At 41.7% G+C, this 19,073-nt stretch overlaps 1 protein-coding gene across 10 annotated transcripts in view; it reads left to right on the top strand.

The window, feature by feature from the left end:
* Window positions 1-17,241, top strand: part of SLC25A30 (solute carrier family 25 member 30) — a 40,701-nt gene extending 23,460 nt beyond the window's left edge. For 4 of the 10 annotated variants that reach the window (NM_001286806.2, NM_001010875.4, XM_047430241.1 and 1 more), the window contains 8 exons: window positions 1,483-1,630; window positions 4,580-4,674; window positions 6,145-6,230; window positions 8,187-8,282; window positions 9,350-9,474; window positions 11,479-11,617; window positions 13,219-13,299; window positions 14,542-17,241. In NM_001286806.2, coding sequence (NP_001273735.1) covers window positions 1,572-1,630; window positions 4,580-4,674; window positions 6,145-6,230; window positions 8,187-8,282; window positions 9,350-9,474; window positions 11,479-11,617; window positions 13,219-13,299; window positions 14,542-14,583 — 723 coding nt within the window. In that variant the 5' untranslated portion in view covers window positions 1,483-1,571 and the 3' untranslated portion in view covers window positions 14,584-17,241. Of the gene's footprint in view, window positions 1-1,482; window positions 1,631-4,579; window positions 4,675-6,144; window positions 6,231-8,186; window positions 8,283-9,349; window positions 9,475-11,478; window positions 11,618-12,492; window positions 12,671-13,218; window positions 13,300-14,238 lie in introns of those variants that run through there. The other 6 variants (XM_017020523.2, XM_005266321.3, XM_006719793.5 and 3 more) reach the window with 3 other exon arrangements.

The raw sequence follows: 19,073 nt of genomic DNA, 5'->3' as shown, positions 1-19,073 counted from the left end.
ATAGGTGAGACTACAGATGTGCACGACCACGCCCGGCTAATTCTTATATTTTTATTAGAGATGGAGTTTTGCCATGTTGCCCAGGCTGGTCTCGACTCCCAAGCTCAAGAGATCCACCTCCCTTGGCCTCCCAAAGTACTGGGATTATTACCATGCTCAGCCTCAAACACAAGTTTTATGAATCATTTTTGGATTGTGTCTGTCCGTTTTCCTTGTCCTTTCCCCCAGCTTTGCCACTGTTAACCTGTTTGGCTGTAAAGAGGTTTGAGAAGCTCAAGGGTGTTCCCTGAGCCAGATGAGATGGACTGTAGTTATCTAGTCACTTTCTGATGATGCACATTATCCAGTTCCCATTTGTGACTTCCTCATCGGTTGGGTTCCACATCAGATCCTGTTTGTTTATTCTCTGGAGTCATTCATTCAGCAAACACTGATTGAGCAGCTGTTGAATGCCCTGTGCTGGGTTGGGGACACATCATTGCTTCCAGGGCTCAGTCACTGCTGTCCAAGGATAGAATACTGCCCCTGTGGGACTGGGGAGAATTGAGGCCAAGGTGGGTAAGCTGGATGAGCCGTGGTAACCACCCACTCACCAGCTTAGGCTCTCTGTGCTGGTGGGCTTTCCCATTGACACAGTGAATCAAGGTTACTGTCTGAGGATGGGTTTTATATATTTGGGTGGACTATTTGTTAGGTACAGTATTTAACATATTTATCTGCATTATCAGATTTATTTTATTTTATTTTGGAGACAGAGTCTCACTCTGTCACCCTGTCTGGAGTATGGTGACGTGATCTCGGCTCACTGCAACCTCTGCCTCCTGGGTTCAAGCAATTCTCCTGCCTCAGCCTCCTGAGTAGCTGGGGTTACAGGTGCCTGCCACCACGCCCAGCTAATTTTTGTATTTTTAGTAGAGACGGGGTTTCACCATGTTGGCCAGGTTGGTTTGGAACTCCTAACCTCAGGTGATCCGCCCACCTCAGCCTCCCAAAGTGCTGGGATTACAGGCATGAGCCACTGTGCCTAGCCAGATTAATTTTAGACTATAAAACACTCTCCCAAGTGGAAAACCACTTTAGAAAATGAACTTTTTTTACCTCTTTGTTCACATTCAACCCCATTTTAACCTTCATTTATATACAGAATAGTAACTTATGTTTTTCAATGGATTTCCTGTTTAGGTAAATCATACCACGTATTTGCTTTCTACAACAATGCAGCCTACCCAAATCCTGTGTAGAATAAGATGAGGTATAAATAAAAAGATAAAGAAAGGAAAATATATCTATGCATTTTTTGGGTTTTATTAATCTTTTGATTCCTCAATTTTTAAAAATATAAACAAGATTGCAAAGTGCCATTTCTTAATCACTTTCTTAGTTTATATTGTAGTCTGAATGTTTCCTCAGTAATATATCACTACGTATCCTTTATTTAGTGGAATTTCTTTTTATTAAGTGAATTTCTTTTTAAATTTTAAGGTACATTTCCAATTGATTTAACCAAGACACGGCTCCAGATTCAAGGCCAGACGAATGATGCAAAATTTAAGGAAATTAGATACCGAGGAATGTTGCACGCATTAGTGAGGATAGGCAGAGAAGAAGGGCTGAAAGCACTCTACTCGGGGTGAGTAGGCCTTCATGCATTTCTGTGTCACTGTTCACTGTTTCACATGGGTATAGACTTCAGACCAAGACTGCACAGATCACAAGTAAAAAGTTTGAGGTGTGTTTGAAAAGAACAAATAGCATGACAGATTTTTCACTTTTAATTTCAACTCTAATTTCTAAGTATATATATTATGCAGCAGATGTTTTGGTGAAACTGTTTTACTATATTCAAGTACAGACAGACAACAATAAAAAATTATGTTTGTTTAAAAACATTCTGTTCGGTTTTTCATGCTTTGAAAATAGCTCTTTTTCTTAGATATTCTGAATTAAGGAGGTTTTTGCCATAATGAAAATTATATGATGTTGATAAGAGTTGCAGTGAACTACTTTCCAGTCTTTCAGTATTTAATGAACAGTATTCTGTAGGCACTGGATAGTGAGTGAGACCTATATCAGAATACCTGCAGGAACAGAACGTGGACAGCCTCATGTCACGCTAAGCATCTTGATTTTCTCCAGTACACCACAGCACAAACTGGTGACCCACAGCCCTGCCATGGATCCACCAATCCCCAGAGGTTTTTGTTTTTTTAATTGAGCCAATATTTTAAAAATGAGAAATTGCACATAAAAATCTGGGACTCCATCTTCTTGAGAGAAATCAACATTAGGCCCACATTCATTCAGTTATGACAGTAGTAGCTGGGGTGAAGGATACTGTCTCTGGTTTACAAAACCTCTGTCACTCACATAGTATATGTGTGTGCAGTTCGACCCAGCCTGGATCATTCACTCATGGCATCTGCTTTCTTGGTACCTGTCAGCATTTGAGTTTGCTATATCTATGGCAGACAGAAGCCACTGAAAGTGTTTAAGTAGGAGGATGGACCTGATCAGCTTTACATTGTAAACATCACCTGCCTGCCATGGAGAGAAAGAATTAAGAGACAGGGAGCACTAGAAGCAGGGCTGTCATGTAGGAAGACTAGATGAGGATCTGAATTGGTTTTGGGGATGAGGAAAAAGAAGACAGGCTAGAAAACTATTTAGGGTGTAGGACTGATAGCACTACGTGACCTAATATGAGGTTTCCATACATGAAGCGGGTAGAAGGGAAGGAGGAGCCAAGACTAATGTCTCAATTGGTGGTTTTTGCCAGTGTGTAGCTGGAGCTTCCATGTCCTGGTTTAGGAAACACAAGAGGAGAGATGACTGTTTGGAGAAGGAAGAGAAGTAGTTCAGTGTGGGACCCTATCTGAAGGTATACACAGGACATCTAAATGGAGAATCTTGGAAGATTGGAAATGTGTCTTTGGATCCATGTTGGAAGCATGGATTTGGAGTCATCAGTCTTTTATTTTATTTTTCATTTATTTATTTTGAGACAGGGTCTTGCTTTGTCACCCAGGCTGGAGTGCAGTGGCACAAAATGGCTTACAGCAGCCTCTACCTCCCAGGCTCAAGTGATCCTCTCATTGCAGCCCCCTACATAGCTGGAACTATAGGCACAACAAGCCACTGCACCTAGCTGCACACACACAAACACACACACACAATTTTTTTTTTTAGATGGCGTTTCACTCGGTTGCCCAGGCTCACTGCAACCTCTGCCTCCCAGGTTCAAGCAATTCTCCTGCCTCAGCCTCCCGAGTAGCTGGGATTACAGGCACCAGCTATGACAACCGGCCAGTTTTTTGTATTTTTAGTAGAGACGGGGTTTTACCATGTTGTCTAGGCTGGTCTTAAACTCCTGACCTCAAGTGATCCACCCGTCTCGGCCTCCCAAAGTGCTGGGATTACAGGTGTGAGCCACCGTGTCTGGCGCTACTTTTATATTTTTTATAGAGATGGGGTTTTGCCATGTTGTCCAGGCTGGTCTCAAACTCCTGAGGTGCAGTGATCTGCCTGCCCTGGCTTCCCAAAGTGCTGGGATTACAGGCATGAGCCACCGTGCCTGGCCAGCCTTTAGATGGCAGTTGAAGCCTTGGGAGTAGGTGAGCTCACACAGGGAACATGTACAGTAAGGAGAGAAGAAGCATAGGATAGATTTCTGGGGAACCCCAGCAGACACAGGTAGGATGCTGTAGAGAAAAGAAAAGAAGTCAGAGGGGGTGATGCTACAGCAGAACAGGGAGGAGACAGCTACAAGTAGGACAAAGGGTAAACAGTGGCACACACTGCAAAGAGCTTATACAAGATCCTACTTGAAAAGCCTCATTTAACTTAGCAACAAAGATGTCAGTTGGTCACCTTGAAGAGGGGAGTTTTGAGGGTGAGGGCAGCAGAAACCCTGATTGCAATTCAAGAAGGAAGTGGGGAAATGCAGAAAGACACCCGGGGAGTGTCCATGCCACAACGTGGTTGTGGTTTGGAGAGGATAATAGGACAGGCATATCGGATGGAGGAAAGTAGGCTTGTTTTTCCTGATTCTGTCTTGAACTTCTTCACTTACATTTTCATTGAGAATAAATATGAGGGGCTAGGCTTTCACTTAGTGAGCTAATAATTTGCACATCTGGACCCACCTGTGTTTTTGTTGGATTTTGAATTTTACGAAATCGTTTTAGAGGCCGGGTGCAGTGGCTCATGCCTGTAATCCCAGCACTTTGGGAGGCCGAGGCCTGAGGTCAGGAGTTCAAGACCAGCCTGACCAACATGGCGAAACCCCGTCTCTACTAAAAATACAAAAATTAGCCAGGTGTGGTGGCGGGTGCCCGTATTCCCAGCTACTCGGGAGGCTGAGGCAGAAGAATCGCTTGAACCCGGGAGGCAGAGGTTGCAGTGAGCTGAGATCAAGCCATTGCACTCCAGCCTGGGTGACAGAGCGAAACTCCGTCTCAAAAAAAAAAAATTGTTTTAGAGAATGTAGTTTGATTATGGATGGCACTCTGCATGTGGGTTGCCTAGCCGATGTTAAGTGATTTTTAGATTGCTTTTGTCCCTTTGTACATTGGTTTAACAGGATTGCCCCCGCGATGTTACGCCAGGCATCCTATGGCACCATCAAGATAGGCACTTACCAGAGCTTGAAGCGACTATTCATTGAACGCCCAGAAGGTGAGTGGGGAATCTGTTTTCCACTGTGGACAGGAGGTTGGTTGTCTGTCTTTTTATTCAAGTGGTTTTGGAGCAGGTTTTCTTCAGCTTATTTGTGACTTTCCTACTGCTACAAGAACTCTGGGTGTAAAGTCTTAGTTAATTGTGCTGAAAGCAAGTTGGTTATCAACTCAATTGAGGGGAGAAATAATGAAAAGGAACCATCTCTGCAAACATTTTAATTAGTTGTCCCCATCTCCAAAATGCCTAGACCAGGGGATGTGTTGTTACTATTCCATCCAACTTAAAATTTGCTAAAATCATATGAATTGTCATCTATTTTTCAGGAAAACAGTGAATACATTTCTTAATATTAACAACACTGAATGCTAATACTCTGGCTTTTTGGTTCTGTGGCTTTGTTTTGATCCATAGAACTGTCCATCTTCATCTCTTTTCACAATGGGATGAGTACCAGACACTATTATGTAAGAGTGGTGAACAAGAGCTAAGATGCTTTGGAAATACTTCAGGATATTTCAAACTAAATACATACGATGTGCTTTAAAAACTTTCTGTGCCAAATAAGTCGTCATGTTATCTCATAGGAATTATTGTCCTAACAGATATAGCTCATCTTAATTATGATGGTCTGAATTTATACATAAATGTGAACTGGGGCTGGGTGCGGTGGCGCGTGCCTGTAATCCCAGTGCTTTGGGGAGGCTGAGGCGGGCAGATCACTTGAGCCCAGAAGCTCCAGACCAGCCTCGGCAACATGGTGAAACACCATCTCTACAAAAAATACAAAATATTAGCCAGGCGTGGAGGTGCACGCCTATAGTCCCAGCTACTGGGGAGGCTGAGATGGGAGGATCACCTGAGTCCAGGAGGTCGAGGCTGCAGTGAGCTGTGATTGTGCCACTGCACTCCAGCCTAGGTAACAGAGTGAGACCCTATCTCAAGAGAAAAAAAATAAAATCACATTTAGATATCAATAAATTTTGCAAAGCAAAATTCCTTCATTAGTGAAATTTCTAATCCTTTTAAAATTACTTGATTCATGAAACATACTTTTATTTTTTTGAGATGGCGTCTTGGTCTGTTGCCCAGGCTGGAGTACAGTGGCGTGGTCTTGGTTCACTGCAACCTGCACCTTCTGTGTTCAAGTGATTCTCCTGCCTCAGCCTCCAAGTAGCTGGGATTACAGGCAGCTGCCACCATGTCCAGCTAATTTTTGTATTTTTAGTAGAGACGGGGTTTCACCATGTTGGCCAGGCTGGTCTCAAACTCCTGACCTCAAGTGATCTCCCCACCTTGGTATCCCAAAGTGCTGGGATTACAGATGTGAGCTACCATGCCCGGCCTGAAGCATATGTTTTTACATCTTAAGGTGAACAAGTAATGTGTAAATAAGTTAGACCTATAGTTGAGTTTCTCACGGGAAGAACTCTAAATATGTAGAGTCAAATAATGTGTCATTGTTTACAGATGAAACTCTACCGATAAATGTGATATGTGGAATTCTGTCTGGAGTCATATCTTCAACCATTGCTAATCCAACTGATGTTTTGAAAGTAAGCTGTGCTATCTATATCTTATAGGCACATTCCACATTTTCTTATTGAGAACAACATTCGGGTAATGGAATCTGTGAATGTAACATCTGTGTATATGTGAATCTGTTTATAATTTAAGTGCCATGAAGACTAACTTTTAAAGGTCCATGAGGTGGGTTTTCCACTTATACAGATGAGCTCAAAAGCAGAGCTCATTTTGGAGACAAAGATTTCGGTGATTGAGGAGAAAAAATTATTTAGGCTTGGACTGCATTTCATTTTCGTTTTTCACGGAAAATGTTCCTTGTTTTATTGGTTCATTAAATATAGATGGACTGCAAGTTTTGCACAGATCTAGGCTGCTCATTAATGACTATTTTTGAATCCATCTTTTTTTTTTTTTTTTTTGAGATGGAGTCTCACTCTGTCGCCCAGGCTGGAGTGCAGTGGCACGATGTCAACTCACTGCAACCTCCACCCTGCTGGGTTCAAGCGATTCTCCTGCCTTAGCCTCCTGAGTAGCTGGGATTACAGGCACCTGCCACCGTGCCTAGCTAATTTTTGTATTTTTAGTAGAGATGGGGTTTCACCATCTTGGCCAGGCTGGTCTTGAACTCCTGACCTCATGATCCACCCGCCTTGGCCTCCCAAAGTGCTGGGATTACAGGTGTGAGCCACCGTGCCTGGCCTGCATCTTCTTTGTTAAATTTTATTTCAGGAAATACAGATGAAAAAATTTAATTACTACAATTAGATTACATAACACATTAGGAGACCTTATTGAAAATACTAGGGATAGAGCATCTTTAAATCCTTTTTTGGAAGCAACTAATTAAATAAAATAAAAATTAGGAATGACTTACTTTTTGAACCCCACAGAGTATTCCTTTCCTACTTCCCCTCTTTTCTTTTTCTGCCCCACTATTTAACTAGTATTCTATGCTTCTATCTTGTACCAGTTGGTATACGCCATGGTTAGAATCCAAATATGAGTAAGACAAGGACCCTGCCCTCAGAGAGCCTTCAATCTAATAGGGGATTCTGACAAGCATTACAGCCATCTGCAGTATTCTGGGTACACTACAGTTATATATGCATTGTAGCAAAGGGACCTCGTGGGTAAGGAAGAAATACAAGGTACCTTTGCCATAAGTTTACCAGTGTTGGGGTAAGAGAGCTAGAGAAAAATATTCGTACTCTCATTAATTTCTTAATTATATCTTAGGCCTTATGGGAAGGCAGTTCCTGTATCTTGGTTTATTTTCCCACGTTCGTGTGGCAATAACAGTTCTTTTAGAAGTTAGTGGTAACGTATTTGCTCCCTAAACAAAAATAAGGTACACATTTTGTAGTAAAAAATCTTTCTTCATTCTTAAAAATGCAAAGAGCTACATCAAACATTCTTTTTATGTTGGAATCTTGGTCATGTGGATTCCACTAATTAAAGTGTAACAGAGTGTAACAGGTATCATGTGGCTGTCACTTGGCTAGCTCGCCTGCATACCTTTTGGTTCAGCTGGCTGGAGACTGTAGTGGCTTGGAGCAGCTAATTTAAGAACTATGCTTGCCTGTGCTTCGTGCTGCCAGGTACACTGGATAACTCATTAATTAGATTAAACCTTTGAAATTAACTTTTCTCTCACCTATATAGTAGTAGGGAAGTATGCTGTTTTCTATCCTAGAAAGACTTTTTTCACAAAAATCAGTTTCTCCTTTTGACATTTAATGAACTGCTGTACGTAGGACTCTGGACTCTCTTAGATGCTTTTTGGAGATCTCAGAGTTCCTAAGAATAAATTTTTATACGTTTTAGTCATTTTAAGGTAGCATCATAGCAGTATTTATATGACAGTTTTTTCCTTGCTAATGGTTATTAAGCAACTGACTGACGGACTGACTGTCAGAGGTATACATTGGTTGTGGGTGGGATTGTGGTAGTTTCTTTCTGATGTTGGTCTTTAAAATAATCTCTAGATTCGGATGCAAGCGCAAAGCAACACCATTCAAGGAGGAATGATAGGCAACTTCATGAACATTTACCAGCAAGAGGGGACAAGAGGACTGTGGAAGGTAAGCCAGAAGGATGGATCGAACTGATTTATTTAGTTCTTTTTTCCTTTTTTGAATTTACTTGTTCTATCACTTAATTTTAATCCAAGTGTCGTAATGGAGTAAGGGAAGAGGAGTGGCATCTTCTGCCCATGAAAATATCTTTCTTTATTTCCCTATCTATAAAATGGGAATATAAGGAATATGTCATGATTTTTTTTTTTTTTTTTTTTTTTGAGATGGAGTCTTGCCCTGTTGCTCAGGCTGGAGTGCAATGGCACGATCTTGGCTCACTGCAACCTCCACCTCCTGAGTTCAAGTGATTCTCCTGCCTCAGCCTCCTGAGTAACTGGGATTACAGGCGTGCGCCACCACACCCCGCTAATTTTTGTATTTTTAGTAGAGATGGGGTTTCACCATGTTGGTCAGGCTGGTCTCGAACTCCTGACCTCAGGTGATCTGCCTGCCTCGGCCTCCCAAAGTGCCGGGATTACAGTTGTGAGGCATTGCGCCTGGCCTATGTCATGATTTTTAAAGTTGCTTTTGAATAATTTATGTATAAGATATTGTGTGAAGGATAAGCACTTTTTTTGTTGTTGTTTGGTCTTTTGCTCTTTTTTTTTTTTTAAATTCTTATGGAGAAGGATTTTAGGTTACAGTTCCATTGGGTGTTTTGATCCATACAATTTCATGGCTTGTAACTGAAGTCTGTGTTATTAGGCAAGCATGTGGTGTAGAGTGTTATTTCCTAGTATTCTAATGACTTGTCAGTTCATAGAATAGCCCCTAAAGATCATCCAGTGTGATCTCTCAGTTCATAGAAGGAAACTGGAGGCTCTGAGAGGTGACTTGTCCTGGCCAAAGTCTGGCCCAAGGTCATATAGTTAATGCCAGCATCAGAATTAGACTTCAGAGTTTTTGAGTTCTTGCTCTGTGATCTTTTCCGCTCTGTCACTCTACATTTCTGCCTCCCCAGAGGAAAAGATAAACCTTGATCATAGTTTATGGATTAGAACCTTTGCACATTTGCAAGGCTTGTTCTACAGAGGCATATCAGAATCATTTTTATTGTTAATATTTTTACCCAGGGTGTGTCCCTTACTGCGCAGAGGGCTGCTATTGTTGTTGGTGTGGAGCTGCCGGTCTATGACATCACCAAGAAGCATCTTATTCTCTCAGGCCTGATGGGAGACACTGTGTATACCCACTTCCTGTATGTTCATGGCTTTTTTTAAAAAATTATAGAAATTCTAAAGAAAGTTTATTATAAAAGTATTATATTCTTATATTTGAAAAGTTGCAATGCAGAAGTGAAGCAGGACCAGGTAGAAGTCCTTATTCCTCTACATAGGCAGCTGTTGTTAACAGTTTGATATGTATCTTCCAGGCGTTTTCTACGTGTATGCAAATATGTCTACAAAAGTGTATTATATGAACTTTATTACACAAATAAGATCATGTTTTACATTCTTTTATTTGCTTTTTAGAATGTAACAACAGGCTGGGCACAGTAGTTCACGCCTGTAATCTTAGGACTTTGGAAGGCCGAGGCAGGAGGATCACTTGAGCCTAGGAATTCAAGACCAGCTTGGGCAACAAAATGAGGCCCCATTTCTACAAAAAATTAAAAAATTAGCTGGGCATGGTGGTGCATGGCTATGGTCCCAGCAACATGGGAGACTGAGGCAGGAGGATTGCCTGAGCTCAGGAAGGTGAGGCTGCAGTGAGCCTTGACTGGGCGACGGAACCCTAGCCTGGGCAACAGAGAAAGACCCTGTCTCTAAAATAAAATGCGATTTAACAACATATTCCAAATATCTTTGAGTGCTTACAGACTTCGTGTCAGTACTTACGGACTTTATTTATTTATTTATGTGAGACGGGGTCTCACTGTTACCCAGGCTGGAGTGCAGTGGTGTGATCTCGGCTCACTGCAACCTCTACCTCCTGGGCTCAAGTGATCCTCCTGCCTCAGCCTTCCAAGTAGCTGGGACTGCCGGCGCATGCCACCACACCCGGTTAATTTTTGTATTTTTTGTAGAGCTGAGGTTTTGCCATGTCACCCAGGCTGGTCTTGAACTCCTAGACTTAAGTGATCCACCCGCCTCAGCCTCCCAAAGTGCTGGGATTACAGGTGTCAGCCATTGCCGGCCTGGCCTTCATTTATTTTTAATAGCTGCAGATTATCACATTGTATGGATATATCATACATATATATTATCATTCATATGTGTGTGTGTGTGTGTGTGTGTGTGTGTGTGTATATATATATATATATATAATCATACATAATCCATTGGTGGGCAATGTGTGGAGACTGTTCTGATTGTCACAACCAGGGGGGAATACTACTGACATCTAGTGGGGCCAGGCCAGGGATATAGCTAGTGCTGAGGTTGAGAAACTTTGCTCTGGGTTAATTGATATAAAGTATGGTCTGTGGTAGTCTTGTGGGACTGAAAATATAGCAGAACCTAAGACCTTTGCGGGGCATTATAGTAAGGAGATCTTTTTCTTTGATATCTAGGAAATGATATAATTATGATATGGCTAGAATTACTCTGATGTCCACTTACAGGTAAATAGATGGAAAAGATCATCCTTGGAGGATTTCCTTTATGTTTTATGATCCTTTGACATTCTAGAATGTCAGGTATTCTTAGCTGTCGCTGGGATTTATCAGCTAGTATAATCGGTGCTAATATGTAAGCAGTTTATCAAGCTCTCTAGATATGGCTCTTCTTGACATGTTTCATGTTGATACATGTTAGTTCAACATAGTTTTGGGGCTGGGCATGGTGGCTCATGCCTGTAATCCCAGCACTTTGGGAGGCCGAGGTGGGCAGATCACTTGAGGTCAAGAGTCTGAGATCAGCCTGGCCAACATGGCGAAACCCCGTCTCTAATAAAAATACAAAAAAAATTAGCTGGATGTGGTAGAGTACACCTGAAATCCCAGCTACTTGGGAGGCTGAGGCAGGAGAATCGCTTGAACTTGGGAGGCAGAGGTTGCAGTGAGCCAAGGTCACACCATTGCACTCCAGCCTGGGCAACAGAGCAAGACTTCGTCTCAAAAACAAAACAAAACAAAACAAAACACGAAAACCACAAACAAGAAAACCCCATAGTTTGGGCAGAAGCTGTTTTCTGCCTTTGATGGTGGTTGTAGCTCAGTGATGGTTAACTTTTTTTTTTTTTTCCAATGGTGTCTTTATAGCTCAAGCTTCACCTGTGGTCTGGCAGGGGCCCTGGCCTCAAACCCTGTTGATGTTGTGAGGACACGTATGATGAATCAGAGAGTGCTTCGAGATGGCAGATGTTCTGGCTACACAGGAACCCTGGATTGCTTGTTACAGGTAAGAGCAGATGTCTGTCTCTGCAGGGTTGTGAATTATATATTTTTTTGATCTAAGAAGTAACTAAATTATGAAAGCTACTAAAACTAAGATGAATGATGCTTTAAAGCCCAGAGATGTACATGTGTGAGACCATTTTTGCCACACTGTGCTTAGCTTTTATAAATACAATGTTGTTTTCTTTATACCTCCATCTGCTGTGAAAGGTGAGGAAATATTTCCTGTGATTATAAAAGAACTGGGTCTCCTTCCAAAATGTACTTTCTTCCTGTTGGGTCAAACTAGTATGAATATCCCTCATTCAGACATCTCTGTTAAAGGAACACATCAATCTTACTTTAATTCTCAGTTTAAATAATTGGGCCTCCTGTTTTATGAGTGGGTGAAAGGTTTCACCTGTCTCTGCCACTAGATTGCCAGTAGTAGGATTAGGAGTCACTTTTTTTTTTTTTTTAAGGTGATATTTATTTATTTATTTTCAAGTTTTAATGTATTTTAGATTCAGGGGGTACATGTGCAGGTGTGTTACATAGGCACATGCGTAGTGGTGGAGATTGGGCTTCTAATGTACCCATTACCCAAATAGTGAGCATTACACCAGACAGATAATTTTTCAACTCTAGCCTCTCCCCTTTAGGAGTCCCCAGTGTCTGTTACTTCTATCTTTATGTCCGTGTGTACCCATTGTTTAGCTCCCACTTAAAAATGAGAACATGTGGTTTTTGATCTTCTGTTTCTGCGTTAGTTTGCTCAGGATAATGGCCTCCAGCTCCATCCATGTTGCTGCAAAGAACGTGATTTCTTTTTTATGGCTACAGGGGCCACTTTTGTGGTTCCTGTTTTCCAACATGACACTAGCACATTTTATTCTTCAGGTGTTGCCTTAATGAAGCAAAGACACTTATCGTATTCATCCACCTGACATCTTGGGAAATAGTGGTACTCTGAATGATATCTCTACCACTATTGCTTCTTTATTTGTGACCTGTTCAGGAGCCCACATGGCACGGAAGCAACAGACCGTAATTGGAATTAAATCTAATTTTTTCCTCACTCAACAGTGTTTATCTCCTTTGTGTGGAGTTCATTCAATCCTTCGTGTGGGGTTGTTGGGCATGGAGCCTTAGTCTTCCACCCACACAAGCCTCTAAAGAGCAAAGATTTCTTAGGCAGTCCTTCCAAACAGGATTTTATTTTTAAGAAAAATAAATCAGTCTGGCCACTAATTATTATTATTATTTTTTGAGATGGAGTCTCGCTTTGTCGCCCAGGCTGGAGTGCAGTGGCGTGATCTTGGCTCACTGCAAGCTCCGCCTCCCGGGTTCATGCCATTCTCCTGCCTCAGCCTCCCGAGTAGCTGGGACTACAGGCGCCTGCCACCATGCCCGGCTAATTTTTTTTTTGTATTTTTAGTAGAGACAGGGTTTCACTGCATTAGCCAGGATGGTCTTGATCTCCTGACCTGGTGATCCACCCGCCTCGGCCTCCCAAAGTGCTGGGATTAAAGGCGTGAGCCACCGCGCCTGGCCTGGCCACTAATTATTAATGCATTTGGCATAATTAGAAAGTTGGAAGTTAACTTTTTTTTCTTCTTTTAACAGACATGGAAGAATGAAGGGTTTTTTGCTCTCTATAAAGGCTTTTGGCCAAATTGGTTGAGACTTGGTCCTTGGAATATCATTGTATCCTTTTCTGTTGCAATAGATCTGAAAAAAGATACAGCTAAAGAATACTATTTGTATAAACTCTCATGTTATTAATTATAATTTAGAAGTAGGTTCTGATTATTTTGAGTTCCTCTGATGCTAAGAAGTCACTACTTAGTTTCTTTTTTAGGAAGTGTAAAGTCTCCGTGCTAGACACTGAATCTTGCTTTGATGGTGGTATTATTCAAAAGTAGTGATACTACTAAAAAGGTTTAGTTAGACTCTGTTCTAGAAGCTGAGGGTATTTACGATTTCAGAGAGAGAGAGAGGAGGATTGGCTTTATAGCCCTAGCCACCTTGGGAAGGATGTGGTTGGCAACAGTGTCTTAGAATGCTTATCTTAGAAAGTGCCTGAAGATAAACAGGAATTAGCTCCGGAATTGTTTGGCAGGCCAGCACGCTTCCTATGTGCCACAGTGGGAGGCAGGAAAGGAAAGGCAGTTAACTTTTTTTTTGTTTTTGAGACTGAGTCTTTACTCTGTCGCCCAGGCTGGAGTACAGTGGCGTGATCTCGGGTCACTGCCACCTCCGCCTCCTGGGTTCTAGCAATTCTCTTGCCTTGGCCTCCTGAGTAGTTGGGATTACAGGCACATAAAACCACGCCTGGCTAATTTTTGTGTTTTTAGTAGAGATGGGGTTTCACCATGTCAGCCAGGCTGGTCTCAAACTCCTGACCTCAAGTGACCTGCCCCTTGGCCTCCCAAAGTGCTGGGATTACAGGCGTGAGCCACCGCGCCCGTGAGGCAGTTAATTAGACACTGAAGGGCAGAGTGATGAAGCAGGAATGCTGGCTTTTGCTGTCCTCTTGTTGCTCTTCATCAGCTCCTGCCTCCCAAGGAAGGATGCATAGTGGAAGCCTTTGAGGAGAGCTTCCCAGGGCTTGCTAACTCTCTCTCTCTCTCTCTCTCTCAAAAGCTTACAGTGCTGGAAAGTTTTTCCACCACAGCAAAGCCACAAAAGCTTATCAGCGTAGATGCCATCTCAGAAGAGGCTGATACCAGGGGATTTACATATCTCAGCTGTGATCTTTCTGCTCCAAGCTGACCTTGGAAGATAGTTTGATGTGGTTAAGGGTGGAACCCCTTTTATTTAATCGTGTCCATAGCGTGGGTCTGCCTGTACCTATTTGTTATTAAGTGTGCCATTTGTAAGTCTGTTGTTATGCACTGGAGTTGTGAAGATGGCATTTTCTGTGTCATCCTTAACCCATAACCACAGTTCTTTGTGACATACGAGCAGTTGAAGAAATTGGATTTGTGACAAGCCAAGGCTGCATGAGACATCTTTCTGAAAATGGTAACTTCTGAAACAGCAAAGCTTCCTGTGTTTCACTCTGCTTCTCACTGCTTGGCTCATCACAGATTCTGGGATGTGAGCAACAGATGAAGACTGGGTTAGTTGAGATTGCTGTGTGTTGGCATTGGATGCTCTTCATCAAACGTTTAATGGCATAAACTAACATCCAAACACTAGTCTTTACCACTGAAGTGCCCTTCAACATCAAAGATAATATGTGAAATGCATGTTTCTTGCTAAAGAAAACTTGCAAGAAAATCAGGAGCGATGTATTGTTTTATTCAGGGAGAGTAGCTCCTGATGCATCTCAGCTCATGACTGAGAATCAGACTGCTCTAGAAAAGCTCACTGGAACCATGGAATGGAGCCTCCGAGAAGGTGTTATGGTTTCTGAATTTCTGGGAGATTTTGCTCCTTGTCAACTGAAGAAATTTCATGTATGGAGACCTGGACTGTTCAACCCCAGGTATAAACGGTGCAGGAAATGGATCCTAGGAATATCACACTGCTTTATCATTTCCTATTTTGGCAGGATCTTCCACTTATAATAAGTGATTTTAAGCTTTGAAGACTTGACATTTGTGAGAAATTGTTACAAAGTAATAATCTCTAAATTCGTGGTGGTGTTATGTGTTGGCTTTGAAGGTTGCAAGGTCTGTATTGGTGGGGGGTGTTTTCAAGCAGCTTAGGTTCTGTCTTAGGTCATGTTAGTAATTAGCTTTATGATTTTTAGCAAAGCATATGTATTTCTCAATGAGTAAAATGGGGATAATAACGTCTATTGATGTAGAGGGTCAAATGAAGAACAAATAGTAGCTGCTGCTACTTGACTGGAAAGGTAAATGTGTTTACATCATGCTGTGGAACAGCTCTAAACAGTCTATGTAGAAGAGGGGCATGTTCTCATGGGCTTCTCATGGTAATTGTGAATGAAGCCCTTTGTTAAGGTCTTGTTGAAGAAAGAACACTGTATAAGTTCAGGCTTTAGTACATTTTCCTTAGCAAAATGTTGGTAGTGAATCAAAGAGTTGATTTTTCCAGGTTTCCAGTTTTTACTTTAGTTTATGTTGTGCCTGTCTTGGACTTTCTGTTTAGTTTGGATGGAAAATACCTGCTTGAAATTTTAAAAATGATTTCTTTAGTGCATCTATTTAGCTAGTTTCTGATAGGTGGTATGTAATATTTTCCCTTTTTCTTTCCTTCTGTAGACACAATAAGTCATTCTCCCTCTTCTTTTTTTCTTTTTCTATTTTCTTATTCTTTACTCTAACCTGCTTCAGAGAAAGAGCCCTCTTCCTTCTTGTCTTCATCTTAGTCTTTTCAAAATAAAAGATGACTGTGAGAACCCCAAGAACTTCCACTTCTGGGAGGCAGCCACAGGACAGGGAACATATTTATTTGGGTCTCTTCAGTTCCCCCTTTGAGAACAACATTAAATACATGTTAGCTGGGGCTCCAGGGCATTCTCCTTCCACAGTAGTGCGGCCAAATTCCCAGTCTGGCCAGTCTCTTTGTTGAGACTGAATAGAAGGACTGCAGGTTTTTTTGGAGGATGAGATAATTTTTCCTCGCAGGCATTTTTCCCTTGCCTTCCTTATGCATGAATGGTCCCTTTGAATATTATTTCCAAAAGTGAGAGCTAAGACAAAGTCATCAAAAAGAGAGGATAACAGAAGGTGGGGGCGGGGGCGGGGTGCAGTGGGGTAGGGTTACCTGTTAATTGCTGAGACTCAGATGAAAGTCCAGCTCTCCCTGGGCAACCCTAGAGGGCAGCAGAGGACCCCAGAGCTCATTCAGGCCTTGCTGCTTGTTCTAAACTACACCTTAGGATTTTTTCTTCTTTCCAAAACATTCCATTGATTTTATAAAGACTTTCTATAGAGAGGCTTTCACTTTTGAGTTCTTTGAGTTTAAAGATTGCTTTTCTTGAAATGCTCTTTTTTTAATGTAGAAAAATTTTACTTTTTCAAATATGCATACAATTTTTAAAACAGTAGAAGCAAATTCATTTTAATGACCATGTAAAGAGCGAATGTCAGACAGTATTATTACCAGTTTATTCAAATTACATACATGTTCCTACCAAGGTGGAAAGAAATTCAAACCTCATGGTAAAACTTAAGCACGATTTAAGATAAAAGCATAGTATTTCTTCAGTGTAGACTTATTAAGTGCCTTATTGAACAGGATCTTAACCTGCTTTTTCTGTTTTTTTGAAAGAGTTAATGCAATTGTTGAAGCTTCTAACCAAGAAACAACTTAAGGAATTGGGAGACTTGGTCCCCTCGTTGTCAGGGTTCTGGCTATAAGTACCTCCCCACCTTTGGGTTTTCTTAAATATGCCAAAAGGAATTCTAGTTTTTATAACCAATGGGTTTTTTTGTTTGTGTGCTTATGGATTTGTGTAATCATTGATGCTTAATGTTGTGGATTCATAATATAAAAAGTGGCTCCTGTCCTTTATATTTATTCATGTGCTAGAAATAGTATGCATTATATAAAGAGTATGAAGTTTTCATAAGCCTTTATATTTCAAGCTCTTTATTTAAACATTGTTGGAATATGTGGCATAAGCCTTGTTTCATTTATTTAATAAACTGGAGTAATATATAATAATAAAAATGATTTCTGGTTATTTCAGATAAATAGAAACATTCAAACAAAGGCAAACTACATGGAGTCTAGAAGGCTGGAGTAGAAATAGTGTTGCAGCTGCAGACATTTCTCTCTGCATGGAGAAGTTGCTGGGATAATCTTACTCATTGCCTGGCACCTGTGTGATCCCCCTACCCTCCCCCCCCCCAACCCCCCTCCCCATGTATGAAATACTTGGCAGCTCAGTCGAGGCCAGTGAACTTGATTTGAGGGCTGGCTTGGCATTCGAAATACCAGTGAGAGGATGTCAGTGACGTGAACTGTCAGACCCCCTCAGCCCTTCATACAGTGTTGGGTGTTGCTAGAGGCAGATGCAGGGATCCTTGGTCAACTGTGGACCAGGCAGGGACACCTGGTTGGCAGAAAACAACCAGCTAACTCAATGCGAAGTGGGTTCATTAATCTTTTTACTTGAAAGTATTCTCTAGGTGCCTGTTAGCATGTGAATTAAACATAGTCGTTTATTTAAAAACTAACATTGGGGGCCGGGTACGGTAGATCACTTGAGTTCAGGAGCTCGAGACTGGCCTGGCCAACATAGTGAAACCCCATCTCTACTAAAAATACAAAAATTAGCTGGGCATGGTGCCATGCGCCTGTAATCCCAGCCTCTCAGGAGGCTGAAGCAGGAGAATCTCTTGAACCCGGGAGGTGGAGGTTGCATTGAGCTGAGATCACTGCACTCCAGCCTGGGAGTCAAGAGTGAGACTCCATTTCACAAAGCATAAATAAATCGTAAAACTGGGGAAAGAGGGGAGCTTTTTTTTTTCTTTAATTTTATTTTTTAGAGTAGTTTTAGCAAAATTGAATGGAAGGTACGGAGATTCCCATGTACCCCTGTCTCCTCCATCATCAACATTCTGCACCAGAGCAGTGCATTTATTACAACTGATGAACCTATTTGATGCATCATTGTCACTCAGAGTCCATAGTTTACAGTAGGGTTCACTCTTGGTGTTGTACATTCTGTGGATTTGGACGAATGTATAGTGACGCATATCCACCATTATTGTATCATACAGAACAGTTTCACAGCCCTAAAAGTGGGGAGATTGGCCTCAGTTCGCCTACCTAAGAGACTAAATGACTTACCCATATATGGTTGCCTCCATATGAAGAGCAGTGAGAACCGCCGGCCGCTGGTGTGTCTCAAATGCCTGTGAACAGTGAAATCCTCACTTGGATGGTGGCACCTGTTAGACACAATTGGCTTTAAATCCAGGATATTTATTTTTAAACCAGCAGCTGGGGAAATGTGACAGGGTAAATTTTTGGTAGGTTACAAGTAGATTCATTCTGTAGCAAAGGAGGGAAGTATAAGACAGTGTATAAATATGTTTCTCAAAAGGTTGATGTAAATAGTGGAACCATGAGTACCAAGAGCAAAACACTGGAAACAACTTATATGTCTGTAAGCATCTCCTGCTTTCCAGACTATGGCCCCTCTGTATAATGCTTGCCACGTTCTTCATGAGAAGAATGAGTTCCATCTCAGCCTGCTGAGATTTCTTCTTCTTTTTTTTTTTTTTTTTTTTTTTTTTTTTTGAGACAGGGTCCTGCTCTGTCGCCTAGGCTGGAGTGCAATGGTGCATGGTCATGGCTTGAGCCTGGTTAATTTTTGTATTTTTACTAGAAACAGGGTTTTGTCATGTTGCCCAGGCTGATCTCAAACACCTGGATTCAAGCAATCCGCCCATCTTGACCTCCCAAAGTGTTGGGATTACAGATGTGAGCCACCGCGCTTGGCCACGATTCCGTGATGGTCAAAGAAATCAAAACGTCTGTCAGCTAGTGTTCAG

This window comes from Homo sapiens, chromosome 13 (assembly GCF_000001405.40).
Source record: "Homo sapiens chromosome 13, GRCh38.p14 Primary Assembly".
Taxonomy (NCBI): Eukaryota; Metazoa; Chordata; class Mammalia; order Primates; family Hominidae; genus Homo; species Homo sapiens.
Note: the sequence above shows the minus strand (reverse complement) of the source record. Positions and strands in the feature narration are given on the sequence as shown.